Source organism: Homo sapiens, chromosome 14 (assembly GCF_000001405.40).
Source record: "Homo sapiens chromosome 14, GRCh38.p14 Primary Assembly".
NCBI classification, from domain to species: Eukaryota; Metazoa; Chordata; class Mammalia; order Primates; family Hominidae; genus Homo; species Homo sapiens.
Window position 1 is genome coordinate 68461007 of NC_000014.9, and position 19836 is coordinate 68480842.

The 19836-nt window shown below is 42.5% G+C and overlaps 1 protein-coding gene across 12 annotated transcripts in view, besides 5 other annotated features; it reads left to right on the top strand.

Annotated features, from left to right (window-relative positions):
* RAD51B (RAD51 paralog B) overlaps positions 1 to 19836 on the top strand; it is an 863318-nt gene that overhangs the window by 641228 nt on the left and 202254 nt on the right. For 9 of the 12 annotated variants that reach the window (NM_001321818.2, NM_001321809.2, NM_001321821.2 and 6 more), the window contains one exon: positions 7166 to 7244. In NM_001321818.2, the coding sequence (NP_001308747.1) occupies positions 7166 to 7244 (79 nt within the window). Of the gene's footprint in view, positions 1 to 7165; positions 7245 to 9516; positions 10671 to 16641; positions 17088 to 19836 lie in introns of those variants that run through there. The other 3 variants (NM_001321817.2, NM_133510.4, NM_001321819.1) reach the window with 2 other exon arrangements.
* Positions 2626 to 2920: an enhancer, noted in NCBI's record as "tiled region #3354; HepG2 Activating DNase matched - State 9:DNaseU". NCBI's record gives its function as "activates a minimal TATA promoter and a strong SV40 promoter by Sharpr-MPRA in HepG2 cells {active_cell/tissue: HepG2}" and the evidence as "EXISTENCE:reporter gene assay evidence [ECO:0000049][PMID:27701403]".
* Positions 9686 to 10219: an enhancer, noted in NCBI's record as "OCT4-NANOG-H3K27ac-H3K4me1 hESC enhancer chr14:68937409-68937942 (GRCh37/hg19 assembly coordinates)". NCBI's record gives its function as "activates a minimal SCP1, AML or CMV promoter by ChIP-STARR-seq in naive H9 embryonic stem cells {active_cell/tissue: H9 hESC(naive)}" and the evidence as "EXISTENCE:reporter gene assay evidence [ECO:0000049][PMID:30033119]".
* Positions 10220 to 10753: an enhancer, noted in NCBI's record as "OCT4-NANOG-H3K27ac-H3K4me1 hESC enhancer chr14:68937943-68938476 (GRCh37/hg19 assembly coordinates)". NCBI's record gives its function as "activates a minimal SCP1, AML or CMV promoter by ChIP-STARR-seq in naive H9 embryonic stem cells {active_cell/tissue: H9 hESC(naive)}" and the evidence as "EXISTENCE:reporter gene assay evidence [ECO:0000049][PMID:30033119]".
* Positions 15138 to 16337: an enhancer, noted in NCBI's record as "MED14-independent group 3 enhancer chr14:68942861-68944060 (GRCh37/hg19 assembly coordinates)". NCBI's record gives its function as "activates an origin of replication core promoter dependent on BRD2, BRD4, P300/CBP and CDK7 cofactors, and independent of MED14, by STARR-seq in HCT116 cells {active_cell/tissue: HCT116}" and the evidence as "EXISTENCE:reporter gene assay evidence [ECO:0000049][PMID:35650434]".
* Positions 15334 to 15553: an enhancer, noted in NCBI's record as "active region_8609". NCBI's record gives its function as "activates an Ori minimal core promoter by ATAC-STARR-seq in GM12878 lymphoblastoid cells {active_cell/tissue: GM12878}" and the evidence as "EXISTENCE:reporter gene assay evidence [ECO:0000049][PMID:35858748]".

A 19836-nucleotide genomic window follows, 5' to 3' on the forward strand; every position in this document is an offset into this window, starting at 1 on the left:
CTAGAGGTTTGTGGGACCAGAAGGAGCAGCAACAACAAGAATGGGTCAAATAGATTATGTTAAATTGAGGTAACATTAACCATAAAACAGTAAAGAAAACTAATAATTAGAGAGTACAGATAAAGTATGAAGAGATTAGAGAGAGATGACTTTAGGCTGGAGAAATCGGCTGAAGCTTCTGGAAGAGGTGACATTTGTATTTAGACTTTCAGGGATGAAGGGCAGAATGAAGACTGCCAGTGTGGAAGCTTGCGAACAGCTGAGGCAGCCCGCACGGATACCCTGTCCAGCTCCCTTCTTTGTCTTGAATCATGCAATATCCATGCAGGGAAAAAAAAAAAAAAAAAAAGCCCTTATTTGCTGTTATGTATCCTGCCTCATTTAATGTATTATCCCAGAAAAGTAGATTGAGTTGTATGTGGCAGATTGGGAGCTGCCATCATGGTGGTTAAAAGTACAGACCAGGTAGTACAGAACCAGGTAGCCTGGGTTGGAACCCAGCTTCAGTACTTATAAGCTACCTACCTTTGAGGATTATTGTGAAGATTAACGTCCATTGGTTGTTGTTGTTCTCATCAGCATTATTACTGTAGGAACCCTGGAAGTCTCCCCTACCCACCCAAGTCCTATTGCACTTTCTATCATGACAGACCATTTCTCTTTTTTGAGAGTCTTATATTACAATGCAGACACACCTGAGAGGGCTAATGCGTGAAGGTTTACCAGCCCTCACTTTAGGGGTAGAGATAATTAGCTGACAGCTTATTTACTAAGAGCAAAATAGAAACCTGGGGAGAGGGACATAAAAGAAGGAGGAGAGAGTTTACAAGGAGAAGCCCATGGGCCCCAATGGCCAATTTTCCTTCCACGCTTTATTTAGAGTACATAGGCCTCTGTGTTTCTACTTGTCATTGGAGAGAAACCTCCACACACCAGCATAGGGATGAAGTGAAGAACAGTGAGGAAGATGCCTGCCCATCATTCTAGGAGCCCTCAGCTGAAAAGCACCGTATTGGGCCCTAGAGAAGGGAACAGAGTGAGATTACAGAAAATGCCCCAGATCTGCTGAGTCCCACTGAAAATTCAGAGCTTGCCTCTAAAAAATAAACTGAGGTAGAAACAGGTAGCAGTATTTTAATAAGTGCACATTTACAGAGTGTAAATTGAATCTGCCTGGCCCAGAGTGTGGTACTCAATAAATGTTTGTTGATGGATGGATTGAATGCCCTAGAGTGAGGAGCACGTAGTGGAATGTCACAGTGGAAAAAGCCCAAAGGCTTCCCTGTATTGTCTGTCTTCTGCCACCAGAATGTCAGCTCTATGAGATCAAGGACCTCTCTGTCTTATTCCCTGCTCTATCCCCTGCACCTACAACAGTGCCAAGCACAAAGAAAAGAGCCCAGTAAATATTTGTGGATTGAATAAGTGCATGGATGGGTGGGTGGATGGCACAAATAACGAAAATTGCTTCCAGATGGTAGTGGGATTGGGGATCCAGCATCGAGTACATATTGGATATACCTTAAATGTTCCTCCAAAGAATTGATGGATAGTTGGATCAATTAATCAAAACAGAGTCTCACGATGTTGCCCAGGCTGGTCTCAAACTCCTGGCCTCCAGCAGTCCTCCTGCCTCAACTTCCCAAAGTGCTGAGATTACAGGCCCGACACCTCCAAAGAATTTTAAAATATGGGTGACCACTTTCCTTGCAAGGATAGGTAAAGAGAGGAGAAAGTGTATTTGTTAGAGTGCAGTTAAAGCCAAGCTGGTCTGATATGAAGGAAATATTCAAGAAGAAACAATTTGGCTATTTGTGGGAGATGGGATTAACTGCCCACATACCACATACCTACCACAAGGAGCCCCAGGCTTTCTGAGCCACATATATCTACACTCATTCTTGCTCAGTTACATATTTCTTTGAACCCTCAGACTTCCAAAGCCAACTTTCACACATTGCACACAGGTTTGAGTGCGATCAGAATTTTTCACTAGGGCCCTGTTGTTTTATTAAGTACCTAGGCCTCCCTGCAGGGCACCATGTATTGAAGAAGATAGAATGATACTTGAAAACCACCTAAGTCAGACAATGATTAGAACTCCCCAGATTTATGGGATGGATGAACATCTGAACCAGCACAGCCTAAATTACCTGCTGGGGGGTTGTCTGCTTTGGAAGAGGATAGTTTATAGTTTGAATGGCAGAAGGGTCATGGGGCATTAATTCAGATCAAAAAAAGGGAGGAATCTATATGTATCCACAAAGATACATGGCAAGCATCACTTTTTTTCCTGAAATATATTGGGCTAGAAAGCTAATTTACACTTCCCCTCACTAGTATATAATACTATAGAATCTTCAGGTTAGAAAACTCAAAAGCAATGTGCATCTTCATATAGTATATACTACTAGCATATAATATTACAGAATCTTCAGGTTAGAAAACTCATAGTGAAAGCAATATACATCTTAATATAGTATATGCTAGTATATAATATTACAGAATCTTCAGGTTAGAAAACTCATAGTGAAAGCAATATGCATCTTCACATAATATGTACTAGTGTATAATACTAGCATATGACAGAATCTTCAGGTTAGAAAACTCATAGTAAAAGCAATATGCATCTTCACATAGTATATACTAGTATATAATATTATAGAATCTTCAGGTTAGAAAACCCATAGAAAAGCAATATGAATTTTCACTCCAGTCCTCTTACCATGATGTTTGCATTGAAGTGTTTGTGGTCATTGATTGCTTTGGGCCTCTAACCACCTTCTTGTTTGTCATTTTTTCTTTTGGAATTTGGGCCCCAGTCCAAACACATTGCATCAGGCATGGTTTCCTGGGTGAGGAGGAGAGCAGGACTATCACCTCCCTTGTTCCACATACTATATCTCCATTGATATAACCTGAGAACTTGCTAGATTTTTGAAAATTACATCTCACAGCTGACTAATATTGAACTATAGTTAACCAACATTCCATTTTCTGAATGCTGAATCTCATTCTGGCTGTTCCATAATGAATCATTGGTGCTCTGTTCTCAAGGACAAGGCATTTCATTTAGTTCAATAAAATTGCATCCCAAACAATGTGTAGGATTTGTTCCAACATTCTAACCAAATTGAGATTTGTTTTGATATCATGTTTATCTGATCTAATATATGACCTCTTTCTCTAAATTTTTTGTCTTCTGTTACCTTCCCATCAATTCAGCATCTCATCATTGGGTTTAGTTACATGATTCACAAGTCCAAATGTCACCTCTTCAGTGAGATCTCATGATACTCTATTCAAAATTGATGCCCCCACCTCCAATCCAGTACACTTCCTGTATTCTTTATCTGCTCTTTTCATCCATTGCACATATACTCATTGAACATAACATATTTTATTTATTTTGTACTTCTTATCTTTCTTTAGAATGTAAGCTCTATTAGAGGAGCAGTTTTTGTCAGTTCTGTTCCCTGCTAGATTTCATATTTGTTGTATGGGTGTAATTGAATACATCAGCAATCTTATTCAAGTCAGTAAGACCAAGCTAGAATTCTGTACATTCTACTAGAGGTTGCTGCCCCTCACCAGGTTACTACTGACCTTTTGGTCACTCACAAGTCCACTTAATGGTATTAGCACCCAGCTCAACTTATCTTCACTTTATCCAGAAGGCTATCAAGAGAGTTTGTCACATTTTTTGCTGAAATCAGATATTTTTTATTGGTGCTAGCCCTCTGATCTATCACTCTGGAAGTTCTTTTCCAAAGAAAGGAAATGGAATTCATCTGACATAACTTATCACTTCCTTTTTTCTGACTGCACACAGATCATCCTTTTGATGACTCATTATAAATCCTGCTCCAGAAGGACAGTGCATTAATCAGTGACCTGTCCGAACTCTTTGATTTCCGGCAGAGAGGTCCCTCCAGGTGTGAGATCCTTTTGGCTGGGGTTCAGGGCTTGCTCATAGACTGGCTATTAGAAGGTGGAGTTAGCACCACAGAGTTGGAAGGCTTAGGCTCAGATGCCATTCTTGTGTCTCATTGAAATATTACATTCTTTTTTTCTGGGTCTCAGTTTCTGCAGTGCATAAAATAAAAAGGGTAATATTTTTAAAAATATAGCATGATACTTTATTTATTGCTATTTACACCCTTTTGGTTTCATGTCTAGTTGCTACATACAGACAACAAAGATCTGAGATTTTTTTATATGTTTAGTTTATTTTTACTGCTATTTGATCTAAAGGATTTACGTTTATCTTATCCATTTCCTTTTTTACCACTCTTTCTGGCACAGCTATAGTTTAGGCCCTTATCATCTCATCACTGAATTATTGGAGTTGCTTCCTAACTGGCCCCACATCTCCCATCTCTTGCTTCTCCATCTTAGACTCTTCAATCAGGCTAATTGCCTAGAACCTGGCTACTCAAAATGTAGTCTATGAACCACAGCATCATCGTCTCTTGGGAGCCTGTTAGAAATGCAGACTCTCTCAGGCTCCACTCAAAACCTAAAGAATCAGAATATGTAGGTCAACAGGACCCATAGGTGATGCAAACCCACATTAAAATCGAGAACCACTGTTTTTTCTTCTACCATGCCATTCCCCTTCTAAGGGATATCCTTAAAATTCACATTGAACCGGGCCAGGCGTGGTGGCTCACACCTGTAATCCCAGCACTTTGGGAGGCCAGGGCAGGCGGATCACGAGGTCAGGAGATTGAGACCATCCTGGCTAACACAGTAAAACCCCGTCTCCACTAAAAATATAAAAAATTAGCTGGGTGTGGTGGTGGGTGCCTGTAGTCCCAGCTACTCAGGAGGCTGAGGCAGGAGAATGGTGTGAACCCAGGAGGTGGAGCTTGCAGTGAGCCGAGATTGCGCCACTGCACTCCAGCCTGGGTGACAGAGCTAGACTCTGTCTCAAAAAAAAAAAAAATAAATAAATAAATAAATAAATAAATAAATAAATAAATAAATTCACATTGAACCATCTCCGAACTGTCTCAGGCAGAAAGCAATCTACCTTAATTTTCAAATGAGATATTTTTGACATGAAAGTGTAAATTCCCACCTATACTTTCTTCTCATTGGTTCTGAGAATGATGAATTAGTGTATCTAAATAACTTTAGAACATTTGTAAAAATTACTGCAACTCAACTGGAGACTTTCTTCTGGTAGGAGCCAAGTATATTGTTATTTGGTGAGTGAGGGTTAAGGGAACCATATGTGATGGGTTAGTTGGAAATGTTCCTATTATTTATTGTGAACTTATTTTGTGTTTGACACAGTGACAGGTATTTTGTATACTTAATTTAATCCTCATAATAATGCCACTTAGGAAGGTGTTTTTATCACCATTTTACAGGTGGGGAAACTGAGACTTAACAAGTTTAGGTTGTCCAGAGTCACAGTTTTGGTTAGAATTCAGGCTGCACTGTAGCATCAAAGATGTCAAAATACAGTGGTTGAGCCAAGTGGCTCTGCCCTGAGAGGACTGGTGACCCCGAGTGGGAGACACTGATGCTCTCTGAAGCCACCCAGCTTCCCTCTCTCATGCTGCCTTGTCATCCCCAGAGTGTTGTCCACACCCATTTGCTTGGATCTGGTTCCTGCCTTGGGAAGAGCGAAAGAGAAAGTGGAGGGCACGCAGTTTTCTTATGAAAACATAATCCAGAATTTCTACCTATCATTTGTACTCACATTCTGCTAGTCAAAGCTTGGTCACATAGCCACACCTACTTGCAAAAGAAGCAGAGAAATGTGGAAACTTGGGGAGTTATTTACTAAAGGGAAGAAGGGGAATGGCTGCTAGAGGAAAATTGTAGGCTCTGCCATAGGCTCCTAGCCAATCAGTGGAAGAGCTAGATTCCAAGCCTATGACTAAAACCTGTGATCTTTTCATCACATTTTCCCACCACTTCTCATAGTTGACAGCAAATATTTGTTGAATTAAGATAGGCCAAGATATTATATATAAGCCTTTTGATCATTTGAAATTGTTTCTTCCTTCTCTCTTGCCTCCCTGATTACCTACACGGTTCAGTGTTCAAACTGTCTTTGTTTCTGATAATGTTTTAATGTGTAAAACAGGAAACTGATAATTAATCTTCTTCAGTAGAAATACTATAATAAAATAATCTACTAATTATTAGAGGTTCTGTAGAACCATATGAGATGTGATAATGGCTTAATGATACTGATTTTTTTAAATGATCAAATAACCATCTCCTTTAAAATAAGTGTTGTCTTAGGAAAATGCCATTGCTGAAAACATTTTTTGATATTTTGGCTGGTATATCAGTTAACTCTTGCTGCACGCACTAATGCTTCATGACTCCACTACCAAAATCTCAGAGGCACACAGTGATATTTAACTTGTGTATCTGTGGGTCTCTAGGGGTCAACTCTTTAGCCTGAGCCTTCCTGGCCAACTCTGTTTCAGGTATCTATTGCCCTTCTTCTGAGATAGCAGACTAGCATGGACATATTTTTCTCTGACAATGGCACAAACGTTAAGAGAACAACTAGAAATACTTGAGGCTTTTTGAGGCCTCGGCTGGGAACTGGCACAACCTATGTCATGCCACCTGGCAAGTCATATGCCCAAACCCACAATCAAGGGCCATGGGAAATGCTCTACACCTTAAGTAATAGAAAATGTAGTCACGTAGTAGAGGGTTTGGTGAAGGACCAGGGCCAACAAAGAAACCTTCAATTGCTTTGCCTTTCGCAAGTTATTTTGAATATTTGCAGTGATAGTAAATCTTTTAAAGGTAGCTTTGAATTTTTTTAGTAAAACAGCTAAGTTTATAAATAAAATTAGAGAATCAAGCTAGGTTTATTTTTGGGCAGAAAGGTAGCTATTTAAGCATGTGTTATAAAATAATGAGACTTATTTCTAGAAGAATTGATTCAAGAATATGGCATTTGATGACAGAATAGTTGGAATAAGCATACAGCCTTTTAAGGTGACCACTTTGAAAGGATAACACTCATTTAAACATTGGGTTATAAAATGGTTTTTTTTTTTTTAAATAAGCCTTGTGACTTACAGTCCTATGTTACCACTTTGTCTCAAAGTGGGAAGGGGAGTGAATAGAGGCCCATCCCTGATCCTTTGACTAACCCTAGAAAAATGTGCTTTATGTGCAGATTCTTATTGCCAAGTCCCCTCTGGCTCCCTTCACCTCATTTGTCTACACCATCAAGGAGGAAGGCCTGGTTCTTCAAGGTAAGATCCTTGGATTAAGCCATTTCTTTAAGCTTATGCTCAGTGCTGCCCATTGCTAGTGGTAATTAGTGCTATGGTTCTGATAGAAGCTAGCTCCAGACAGAATCAAAAACCAAGATGCATTGGCCAGTGATATTTACCCTAGTGAGAGCAAGAGAGCGGCAGTTGTGGCAAGAATTTGACAGAGAAGATTGAGGTAGGGCCGAAGGAGACCTACAGAATTTCCTAACAGAATGAGACAATCAAAACATGAGGATCAAACCAAGAAAGCTCGGAATTGCTACCACCCCATTCCTCTTTGCAGATCCTATGGCATGAAGTGGGCAATGATTCTGACACCAGTGTGGAGGTGAGGAGCCAGTGCTGCCCCAGAGCCTTCTTGCTTAACAAGCTAAAGAACCATCTGGGTTGGCAGCCTCTGGGGCACAATGTCATGGCTCCATGAGCCCTACTTCCCTGACTCCTTCTGGTTATCTTGTTTCCTTTTCCTGTCCTGTCCTGACATGGTCTTCCTGCTGGGGACCAGACCTTTAGGACCTGCACCTTGTGACGTGAGCCCAGGACTTAGAAGGAGCTGAGTTCTTGCTTAGGGTATAGCACCCTGAGGCCACATCCTGGAACTCACTGATCTACAATGGTGATTCATTCTCAGATGCTAGATACGCCAGTGGTTAGGAAAGGCACCCGATTACAGGTCTTTCCAGAAAGCAATTAACATGAAGGGGTAAATTCCAGCACTGTTAGAAGAGTCAGCCCACAATGTCAGATGTACAAAACTGCTTTGTGGATGAGGAAGGATCTGCACAGAAGTGCTCAGGATATACATCTGTCCTCTGCTGTGGGGCAGGAGACCCCAACCACAGAGATGCTTAGGTGAATATCTGGCCTGACCCTAGAGGAGCATATTGTCACTGCTGTCCATGGGAGAAGTCCTGCCCTGAAGGATTTATAAGTTAAATATTTTTCCCAGGTTTATGAAACAGGGCAGTCCCTGTAATTTCCCCATGGAGACACAATGCAGTGCAAAGACCTAGCAGGGAATATGCAGGGCAGGCTGGAGAGTTCATGCTTCTAACTAAGGAACAGGCTGCAGCCTTCCCTTTCCTTCCCCTTCTAAAATGTCTGCTTCTTAATGGACTCACAAAGCGGCATGTTTGTTTGGTGCAGCTGAGCTCCACAGCGGGGACTCTCAGGTCCACGAAATTTGGGGTGAGAACTACGACCTTTGGCTCTTAGCCTTTGACTTATGCTATCCAAGTTCCTTGGTAAATATTTTTTTTTACAATTGCAAATAGTGTTTTCTGACAAAGGAGCAGAGATTTTAACACCAGATTAAGCAAAGCAAACAGCAGGCCTCTTTGTTACATACTCTCTACGGGTGTATAACTAATAAGCAATCAGAAAGCTGGACTTTTATTTACCCAGTACACAGGGTGGCATTCAGCTCTTCATTTTTAGAGGCCTTCTTAAAAGATTAGAAGTATAGTAAGTAGCAAATTTCGTTGAAGATTTCAAGAAATTCTATGGAAGATTACAAGACAATTTCAGGAGGAAAAAAGTTTGTTCTGCTCAGATGACGTGTGTGAAGAGGCTTGATGTGATACACGCACCCTGATCACTAGGCATTTTGTTAAATAGCATTTCTAAGCCCGGTCAAATCTGGATAACTTTTGGGATAACATTTGTGAGAAGAAGAGTCACTGAGTTGCCTCTCTGATGTTCATTGCTAAGATCATGATTTTAAGAGGGAAGAGAAAGTTATTTAGAGAAAGTAGAGCCTGGAAATACAATGAATTGGTAGAGTTTAAAAAACTGCAAGGAATGACTTTTCGAAAAAGTTGGAAAACAGGGGAGAAAGTGGATCACTAAAGGAGGCTGACCTGGAGCTGTGTCCAGGAAAGAGAAAAATTCAGGAAAATGTCTTATAATTCAAGAACAACAACCAGTAAATAAAATGCTTGGTTAGGAGACCTCAGAACCTCACCTGGTTGCTTTCTAAGTTGTTTTCTCTATCCCACTCCCCCAAGCTACACATCCCTCTCTGAGGTTTCCCAGAAGCAGTGGAACACCTCTGCTTTTACCAGCAATGCCCTTGAAAACAAACCTCTTGGCACACTCTGCCTTCTTGCTGTGTGCTCCCAAAGACTTTGGGAAAACAAAAAATGCAGGTCCCCAGAAAATGCAGGCCCCTCATTTACTAGAAAGAACCTTTGGATTTTACCTTCAGCTTTGGTATGATCTTGAGAAAATCTCTGGGCCTTGCTTTTGTCAGCTGGAAAATGAAAACATTAACCTTGATTCAAGACTTTGAAAACTGTCGCAACCCATTGGTGGGTCATGAAGTGAAATTGATGAATCACAACCAGCATTTGAAAACAGAGAGAGAGAGAAGACAGAAGAAAGAGTGAAGAAAAAATATCAGATTATATCACACATATTGTTTCATTTCATAAAATATTTCTTGTGTGATTGTGTGTTTGTGAATGTCCACATACATTATGAGTTTGTGTGGGGGCTGCAGCATAAAACGTTTTTCTTACGTGGATTGTTGTAACCATCCTGCGGGATCTCTAACAGCCTTGTCACATCAGCTTTGTCCGATCCTCCTAGGAGAGGATGTACTCATCATTCCCTTAGCTCAGCCCAGTTGTACCCTTGAGATCTCCACATACTGCAACATCAAAGCTAATTTTTCCCCCTTCTTACCACATGACCAAACTAAAAGACACCTGCATGATTCCCCAGGTTTAAAGCAAAGAAACCCTTGGTCCCTGGGTGGAAAACTTGGAAAGGTACCATCAGTCAAGGCCAAGTAGCTTTTCTTACATGAGGAGCTGCACTGGCAGGTGAGCCCCGAGTTGGTGTGGAGGTTGGCACCTGGAGCTCTGGGTGGGATGTGCAGCCCATGTCCAGGGACTTAGAGACAGACAGGGCAGCTCCTGTGCTGCCAACTAGAAGGGAGGCCGCCAGCCACTGTGGCCGACATTCGGTCTTCAATAGAGCCACCTGGATGGTGGAAACAAGCCAACCACACCAGCTACCCGTGGGGGTAGGGAATGATCCCTCAGTGCCTTTTATCCCTTGGCAAGCCCCAAGATGCCTACTGGCCTGCTAGCCCGGAGATTTTATAATACCTGAAGAACTCCTGAGTGCTCAAGCAGAGGGAGGGAATAAAAGGTGAGGGCAGAATTCGATTTACCAGCTCCACAGGCCATTTCCCTCACCGGTTCTCAAGGATTAGGATGCTGAGAACAGTCAGCAACTGGGGGACTTCTACCCTTCCCTCCCCTTTGTTCACTGGGATGGGAAGGACAATAAAGCGGCAGGCTGGAGAGACTGAGGGGCTGGTTAGAGATTTCTCAGGCTGCTTTTTGAAACTCTTGAAGGAGCCGGTCCATGCTATTGTTGTAGTAAAATAGAAAGCGGAACTATTCTCCTTTTGCAAAAAAAAAAAAAAGGAAGAAAAAAAGTAAATGAAAGAACCCCCCTCCTCCCAGCATCTTCAGGAGGCCTCAACTCAGGCCATTAACATGGTAATACCATCCTGTTTGCATCTCCTTTGTCTGTCCAGCGTTTGTCTGGGATCCTGGCCTCTGGATGCTGGAAATACTTAGGCCCCAAAGGAGAGGGAGCTCACAGCCACCAGTTTCCTGAGGGTTTGGACTCTGAGATCCCAGGCAGAGAGAGAGTTGAGCCTCTCTGTGCAATGAAGTGGGAAATGTTGGGGTAGGAGGGGATCTCATGAATCCATTTTTCCTTTGGTCCCCAGAGTTCACCATGCAAGTCTCAGTGCCCACTAAGTGAAAAAGCTCAGCAGTTTGGCTAGCCTCTTAGAGTGATGCTCAAGTGTGCTGGGGCCTAGTGGAGAGGTAAGAGCAGGAGTTGGTTCTGGGAATCAGCTTTAATGGTGTGTGCCCACAGAAGCATCTGGCAGCAGAAAGGAAAGGGAGTTTACAGTGAGCTCCAGGTTGACCCACCTCTCCTCTGGTCATGTCCTTTGTTCCCTTAGCAAGCCCCGAATGTTGTGCCACCCAGAACACAGCTGGGACTCAAGGCCAAGAATAAAGATTCTGTCATTGAAAGCAGCTGGGCTGTGTTGCTGGCGCTGCAGGAGGCCTAGAGGAAAACCCAGGTCCCAGCTCTCCGGGAGCCCTCCTAGTTTTCAGGGGCTCATAGGCACAAACACCTGCGGACTTGGTGAAACAGAACCTAAGGAAGGGGAGGTCCAGGGGAATGAAGGGTTGATCTAGCACAGCCTCCCCGTTACTCCTTTCCTCAGGGATCTGGGGAGGATTTGTAAAAGAAAAGCCAGGTTGTTTGGAACAGGACAGAAGATAGTGGCTTAGTTCCTCAGTAAGACAGAAGTGTGTTTTTTATATCATTTTTGCAAAATCAAAGTCAGGTATGACAGGTTTAATTTGGATCCTGGGGCTGTCGTCTATTAGTGTAGGTTTGAATGAGCGGGAGCTGGGGAGACCAGGGCACCCTGAGACAGGTCCGGAGAAGGTGCTGGAGATGAAATTAGTTTCCCATATCTCCAACCACTTGGCATAGGGTGGCAGAAGAAAACAGAAAACAAAGCAACAGCGATCTTTTTTAGAGCTGGAAAGCTATGTGCCTCATCTTTCTTGCTTTGCTTTTGCAATCAAGAACAGTTTGATCACCTTTTGAAATGTATCAGGACAGGCATTAATCTCTTCTGTTTGTTCCCTTGTCACAAACTTGCGTTAAGTTTTCCCACCCCATTTTTTTAGTCACTGAGCCAGCTGGATGATTTATTGACAAAAATGTCCCCCCAAATACCACCACTTGAGTTCATCAGATTTCAGTTTGAATCAGTAACCTATCAAAATGTTTTATGCTGCTGGACTCAAAGTGACCCAGAAGATTCTCAATTTATTTCCATCCAGGTACAGAGGTATCTGCATGGTAAATACCACCTCCGCACCTGGCACAGCCTGGCATTCTTGTAGGAGCCTGGGCAAAGAGCCCTGGAACTCAATGGAGCAAAGAGAGTGAACTCCTCTCCCAGAGGTCATGGAGAAGAAGGCAAAGCAGGCCTGTCACATTGTCCCCAGCCTGCCAGGTGCCACTGCAGCCTCGGAAAGTTTGTCTAGGCCAAGGCGCTCTCCTTTGCTGCTTCTGCCTGCCTCTTAGTGTGGGACCTCCCAGGGAGATGAGAAAGGAGAGGAAGGACTCGTATCTGTTCAGTTCTCTTCTCCCCTGTGCACATTCACTTTACATCCCCTCCCTCCATGACATCTTCTCACACAGGCTCTCTGCTTTGTTTACTTTTTTTTTCTGGCAATCAGCCTTGAAGAGAGATTTTACAATATTTGGAAATATTTTATAATATATGAAAAAAAATTTTAAATACAGAACAGTACAGAAAATCATAAAAGAAAACAGGTGAATCTAACACCCCAAATAAATACTAAAATTTTGTCCCATTTGTTTCAGATTTTTTTTTTATTTACAGGAATGAAACTTGACAAACTTTAGGACTCCTTTGTACCTATTCCTGGTCCATTCCCTCCTTATCCCACATTCCTCCACAAAAGTGGAAACTCTCCAGAGTTTGGTCTACATCTTTCCTCTCCATTCTTAAAAACTTTTCTACATATATGTGAATCCACACATAGTATAATGATTGATTTTGAGTGCATTCTGAAATTTGCATAAATGATTTATTGTACACGATTTCACAACTTGCTTTTGTTGCTTAACACTGTTTTTGTAATATAGCCATGTGATACACAGGTCACATGATACACAGGCCACGTGATACACAGGTCACATTCTTTCACCTTAGATATCCACATCCATTCAGTGTGTGAATGTACCACATGCTACCCACTCCCCTACTTATGGAAATTTTGATTATTTGTAACAATTTTATTACCTGTGCTTCTTGATGTTTAGGTATGAGAGTTTCACTAGGTATATATAAAAAATGGAATGGCTGGTCAGAGTGTCTACACGTTTCCATTTACTATATCTTCCCAAATTGCTCTCCAAAGACTTTTACCAATTTATACTCGTTCTGGAGATAGTAGACCAATTTCTCTGCAGCCTCGTATAATCGTTAAGTTTGTTGTCATCTTTCCATAGGCAGTCTTCTCATGCCTTCTTTAGGGATGCACTGCACTCTAGCCTGAGTGACAGAGCAAAACCCCATCTCTCTCTATCTTAAAAAAATTCTTCATTTCCCTAAAGTTAACTATATAATAGTTCCCAGAAAGTGAGCTTTTAATCTCATCCATCACCCTGATTCTCACTTGAGGAAACTGAGTTCCAGAAAGGTAAAGTAATGTTCACTGCCTCAAAATTGGGTTTGTAGCCATTTCTAAGCCCTCAGCCTGGGCTCCTAAGATTTTAGAAAATCCGAAGTGGGTTTGGGCCCTCTCATCTTCCATCAGGGAAGCCCCTGTGACAACTTACCTCTCAGGCTTCATGAGCCTCTGTTGAGATACTTCAGGCCTGTCCTGAAATTTGAATCTGGAAATTCTAAGCTAAAATGGATTGGTCATACTGATACAATAATCCTTCAACGAAGTCCCTGAGTGCAGTTAGATTATAAGTTTGGCCAGGTGTAACTATAACCTAAACTAACAGTGGTATACATGATAGAGATGTACTGCTTCCTCCTGTAGTGCCGAGGAGGAATGCAGTCCAGAGCTGGTTTGGCAGCTTAGCTCTACATGTCTATCGAAGAGCCCAGGCCATTGACTTTTTGCTCTGTCACACCTAGGATGTTGCCGTTACCATGGTCCAGAATGGTTCAGCATCATGCCCTCCATCCCAGTAGCAGGATGTGCATGAGATAGAGAATGGTGGTGGGAGAGAAAGCATCCCCCATCCCTTAAGGACATTAACCAGAAGTTATACACATTATTTCTGTTTATATGATGTTGGCCAGTCTGTAAATATATGATCAGAAAGGCTAAAAATATAGTCATTAATCTGGGTGGCCATATACCCAGCTAAATTTCGGGATTTCTGTTATCATGAGAAAAGAAAATGAATATTCGGTGACACAGCCCTTTCTGAAGAGCCCAGTTGCAGAGATTAGGTGCAATAGTACAGACGTAAGGGCTGGGCTTGTTGCATAATAGAGTTATACTCTTAAAATGCAGCATAAATATTGTATGTATTGAAAAGTGCCATCAGGACCCTCTTTGGTTCCAGACTCTAAAGTAGAAGAGAAAGGGTATCACTTCACCAAGGATCAGCACCCAAAAATCTTGTTCTGCCCACCCAAAACAGAATCTCCTTCAGGAAGGAACTTTAGTATGTGTTTTGCTTTTATGCAGTATCCAGGAAAGAAACTTCAATGAGAGCTACTATTGCTTATAGCACAAGGCAGGGCATGAACTTGGGTCCAAAGTCATAGACCAAACACTTTTTTTTTTCCAAAATGTTTTTTCCTACCTCCACTTTTAAAAAAAAAATGAAACAAAATATCAGTTGAAATAACATTATTGAGAAAAACTTTATTCCAAGGCCTGGACTATAGTTAGACTGGATTTACATTTCTCTTTTAGAACCTGGAAGCCACTTGGCTATCTTTGCAGAGTTAACAATTTGCATTTGCAAAAATGGCCAGGTAACAGTACCAAAATATGTTAAATCAATTCAGGTTGTTGATTTTCTTTGAAAGTCTCTTCCAAAGAACTTCATGTTCTTTCTGGAATATGATTTAAGCTGCATTTCAGTGAGTTCAGTTCAGCAAATATTTGTTGAGCATCTATTGTTCACAAAGCATGGTGCTCAGGGGTCAAGAGATATAAGGCTGAAAAAAAAAAAAAAAAGGTCCCTTCCTTTTAGTAGCCCAGAATCTAGTTAGGAGAGATGTAGTTAAATAAGTTTAATCAAAAGCCAACTGTGATACCTATTACCAAGGTTCAAACAGTGGAATATAGAAGGATAAAGGGAATAGACTTATTCCAAGTAGGATGACTGAGGTAGGTTCTTGAGAGTACGTGGGACTTGGACTGGATTTCAGCTTGTGAATACTGACAAAAACCGCATTCCATTGTCTCTTGACAGAAGCCAATTTCTTTTGCTATTTGAGGATAGATTCAGGGACACTGGGGAATGCTGATTAGTTCCATCACTAATGCTGATTAGTAGTGAATGTTGAGTCATGCTGACTAATGTGTTCTAAATGGATTGACTCAACAATAAAGGCAACGTTGAGAGTCAAGAGTTCAGATCCTGAATTTCACCGATGAAGTGTAAATCATTTCGCCACTTAGTGCTTAATTTTTTTGTCAATTAAAATGTGCTCGTGGGTGAGAATCCAGTAAGTCATCTTGACCCATGAGGGCTTTACAAACTTCAAGGATAACAGACAGCTTAACAGCAACTACCAGGACAGGCTTATGCAACCTCAGGTTATTCATAGCTCACACAGAGTCAGAACACCCATCACATGCTGCTCGCCAGCCATGCGAAACTTCTGTTTCCTCACACATGCCATGAGAACTGACAAACAGTGCACTGAACTCACAAAACCCGACAAATAGAGGAGCTTTTGAAAAATCTTCCTATCTACCTACTGGGGTGTCTGTGTCTTTCTACAACAAATGTCGCCACAGAACTAAGGGCTTGCATTGCAGACACAGCTCTTTCTCTCTTTTGACATCTCCCCAGCTAGACTGCTTGAGAACCTGGCCTTCCATGTCCAGATGTTTACTGAATTCTGAAGCCCTCCCAGAGAGCCCAGGTTCTTTTGTTGCTCTCCAAATCATTTCCCACAGAGGCTGACCAGTGTCCTGAAGGAGCCCTTCAATAGGGAGGATAAATGAAGGCAGATGAAGACATGACCCCCTGAGGCTTGCCCACATCCACTGGAACAAAGGGTGTGAGGCACAACCTTGTAAGGAGTGTTTTGGTCAGCCGCGTCCCTATGCGAGGCCAAGTCTCCCCCACAGGGCTGCTTTCAATGGCTACCATCATAGTGGAAGTATTGGGCATTTGTTAAGGACTGTGGTGTGCTAGATATAGCACAAAACATCTAAATCATGGTCCCCTGCCTTTGTGAGGGCTTCCTGGCTACAGATGGCAGCTGGCTTTCTCAGGGGAAACTTGGGGGTCATAGAGAAAGCTGAAGAGGGGTGCTTGCTTCTGTGGATGACCTCTTCCCACCCAGTGCAGCGACACTCCCCTTTTGTCTATAGCTATCCTTAGTCAAGCCAGGGCTGCGGGACCCTAACCCACACTTCCGCTGTGTTTCTGGATCTCTGGTTTGCAAGGCCAGTGGCTCTGTGGGCAATACGTATGAAAGAGGACTGCTGTTGGAGGAAAGTTCCATTTAGGTTGCTGGTGGGAAGTTAGTGCATTTCATAACAATTTTTTTTTTTCAAACTTTCTCTTTTTTTTTTTTTTCCTTTAGGCCAAGAGAAGCCATAGGGATACTGTGACCTTTGTCTAGAGTTGATGGGGGTGTGATTTGTGAAATAAAACAGGACCGTACTGCTTGGAAGAAGGAAACGGAAGCTGACATAATGGGGATTAATTAGTTGATTGCTGTTGAGATGGTAACAGATTTGCTCCTAAACCATTGAGCTAGCGATTTCAGACCTAGCAGGGAAGGTGAAGATGAAGAAGCCTTTGTTCAGGTCTCTAGATGTGTAGGGCTGAGGGCTTTGCCGCCATGGGATGTCAACAGCCATAATAATAATTTGCACTTATATAGCACCTTTCAACCAGGCACCTCAAAGCGGTTTAACCACATTAATTAATTAAAGCCCACAATCCTCCTGGGGAGAGGAGGAGGATGACTAACAAGATTTGTAATTACAGGAGGGAACATTTCCGAATAAAGTATTGTCTACCAGATAAAAAGAGTAGGTGTAAAGGAATTGGGGTCTCCAAATAGTAACCGATTCAGAAATGAAATCATGGAATGATGTGGGAGGCTGGGGGCGGGCATGGGCAAGGGGGTCGACTCTGTGTCAGAGGGAGGTCGATGGGCTCAGAATTCACTGACAGGTTCAGATCCAGCCGAGAAGTGGAGCATGTATGGTATTAGTGGCATTTGAAGGTCATTAGTGGCATAACTATTGTAGTGTAAATTCAAGTTTTATTGGTATATTGTGTATAGCCCTGCAGAACAAAGACTGAGACTCATGCAGTATTTAATAAAGGATGAAATGATTTCTTTAGATTTAAAGCCCAAAGCTGGGCCAGTCAATTAGCAAATAAATCAATTGGTGACCCGTAGGATAATTTAGTCGTTTCCAGTAGAACACCCAGCCTACACACTCCTACTGCCATGAGGCTCTGATTGAAGCATCAGACTGGGTTCAGGGCAAGGTCTGGGGGCTTTAGCCCCTTCAAAGCCAGGCATTAAATCTTTCCAGCCTTTGGCCTTGTGACCTATCTTACCCAGGTTGTTAGTGACCTCAAGCTGTCCTCTGTAGAATCACTTTGTACCTGCTCCTCCATCAGAGATTTTTAGTGCATTGAGGGCTAGAATCAAGTCTCATCCTATTTCATGTCTCCTATGAGTGCCCAACAGAGTGCTGTGCACCAAGTAGGTGCAGATTGATGAAGATTGATGAAGAAAGACTGAGTCCTTTAACGACTCAGTATTTGTTGAGCGCATACCAAGTGCTCAGGTAAAGCTTGAAAACAAAGCTCAGTGTGTGCCTGCCCTCCAAAAATGTACTCCAAGGAATGGGAAAAGACTTACAAACTATTAACTATAATATAAAGCAGAATCACATCCAAGCCCCGGGCAGCAAGGGCAATAGGAAGAGCATCTTATTCAGCTGGAGTGAATCAGGGAAGGTATTGGTGTGCTGTGCATCGGAAGGCAAGAAGGATTTGGGTAGACCTGGAAGAGGCAGAGCAGGAAGATGTCCCAGGCTGTGACCATGTGTCTCCCTCTGAGTGAGGTACATTTTGAGAACTTGGGATGTTCAATAGAATGTTGGTGAAAACCAAGGTGAGTTTTCGTATTTAATCAGGAAATATACATTTCCTGTGGATTCTTATGACATGAATTGGTTAATTTCAGACATCAAGGGACTATTTGAGAAGTTGGAGGTAGGGTTCAGGATACAGTACTCCAAAATCCGGCACGTTGGCCTTGAAAAAACAGCAGAGGCAGGAAGGCCGTTGTCACCTTCCCCTCACCCCTCCTCTCCTGAAGCAGGTTGTAAAATGTTCATTCCTGAAGTGTTCACTCTCTACCCAGAGGAAAGGAATGTCCTTATCTCTGAAGACACAGGGACAGAGAAGAATCTGAACAAACAGGCCTTGCTAAATTTCCCCCAGTTTATTCCCATTAGATCATACTCTTTAGTCCTCCAATCATACTTCTGCCTGACTGTCTACTCTTCATCAAACTTAAGCATAAAAATACACAGATTTCCCTGGTTTGGGGGTGGTCTTTCTTCTTATTCTTCTTTTTTTTTTTTTTTTTTTTTGCCAGAGTCTCACTCTGTCTCCCAGTCTGGAGTACAGCAGTGCTATCACAGCTCACTGCAGCCTCAACCTCCCAGGCTCAAGCAATACTCCAACCTCAGCCTCCGAAGTAGCTGGGACCACAGATGGGCATCACCACACCTGGCTAATTTTTTATTTTTTGTAGAGACAGAGTCTCTACTGTGTTGCCCAGGCTGGTCTTGAACTCCTGGGCTCAAGTGATCTTCCAGGCTCAAGCCACCTTCCCAGCTCAGCCTCCTAAAGTTCTGGGATTACAGGCATGAGCCACCGCGCCCAGCCAGGTCTTCATTTCTAAAGGTTCTCATGTCACATAAAACTTACGTTAAATAAATTTTTATGCTTTTCTCTTGTAAATCTTGTTGTTGTTGCTGTTATTGTTGTTTGAGATGGAGTGTTGCTCTGTCACCCAGGTTGGAGTGCAGTGGCATGATCTTGGCCCACTGCAACCCCTGCCTCCCGGGTTCAAGCAATTCTCCTGCCTCAGCCTCCCATGTAGCCAGGATTACAGGCATGTGCCACCATGCCCGGTTAACTTTTGTACTTTTTTTTAGTAGAGATGAAGTTTCACCATGTTGGCCAGGCTGGTCTCGAACTCCTGTCCTCAGGAGATCTGCCCTCGTCGGCCTCCCAAAGTGCTGGGATTACAGGTGTGAGCCCGGCCTTCTCTTGTAAATCTGTCTTTTGTTATGGGGGCCTTGGCCATGAACCTTGCAATGCGTTCATGCAAGATATTACTTTTTCTCCCCTACAGTTTCTGGTGCCCAATATGGGGTGACTGAGACACCCCACTCATTCTGGATCTTGCAGATGAGATCCTGGGGCAACTGACAAAAAGCTGGAAAAATTAGAATTCTTATCAAAGTCAGCTCTCCCAGATCTCTGTCTGTAGTGCTTGGTCAAGAGAGACGTTAGAAATTTCTCCTTGTCCCTTCCTTCCCAAATTCAGATTATCAGGAAAAAAAAAAAAATGTCTATATTGTGACTCTCTGACTAAATCTGGCTTTAAGGTACTCGTTTGTTACTGATCCTTTCCCTCGCAGGGACTGCTGTCTCTTTCCTTGTTTTTCTCAATTTCTGTCCTGATAACTTGGTTTGATTTTCTCCCTGTTGGGGCATGCAAGCTGTCTTGAGTTCC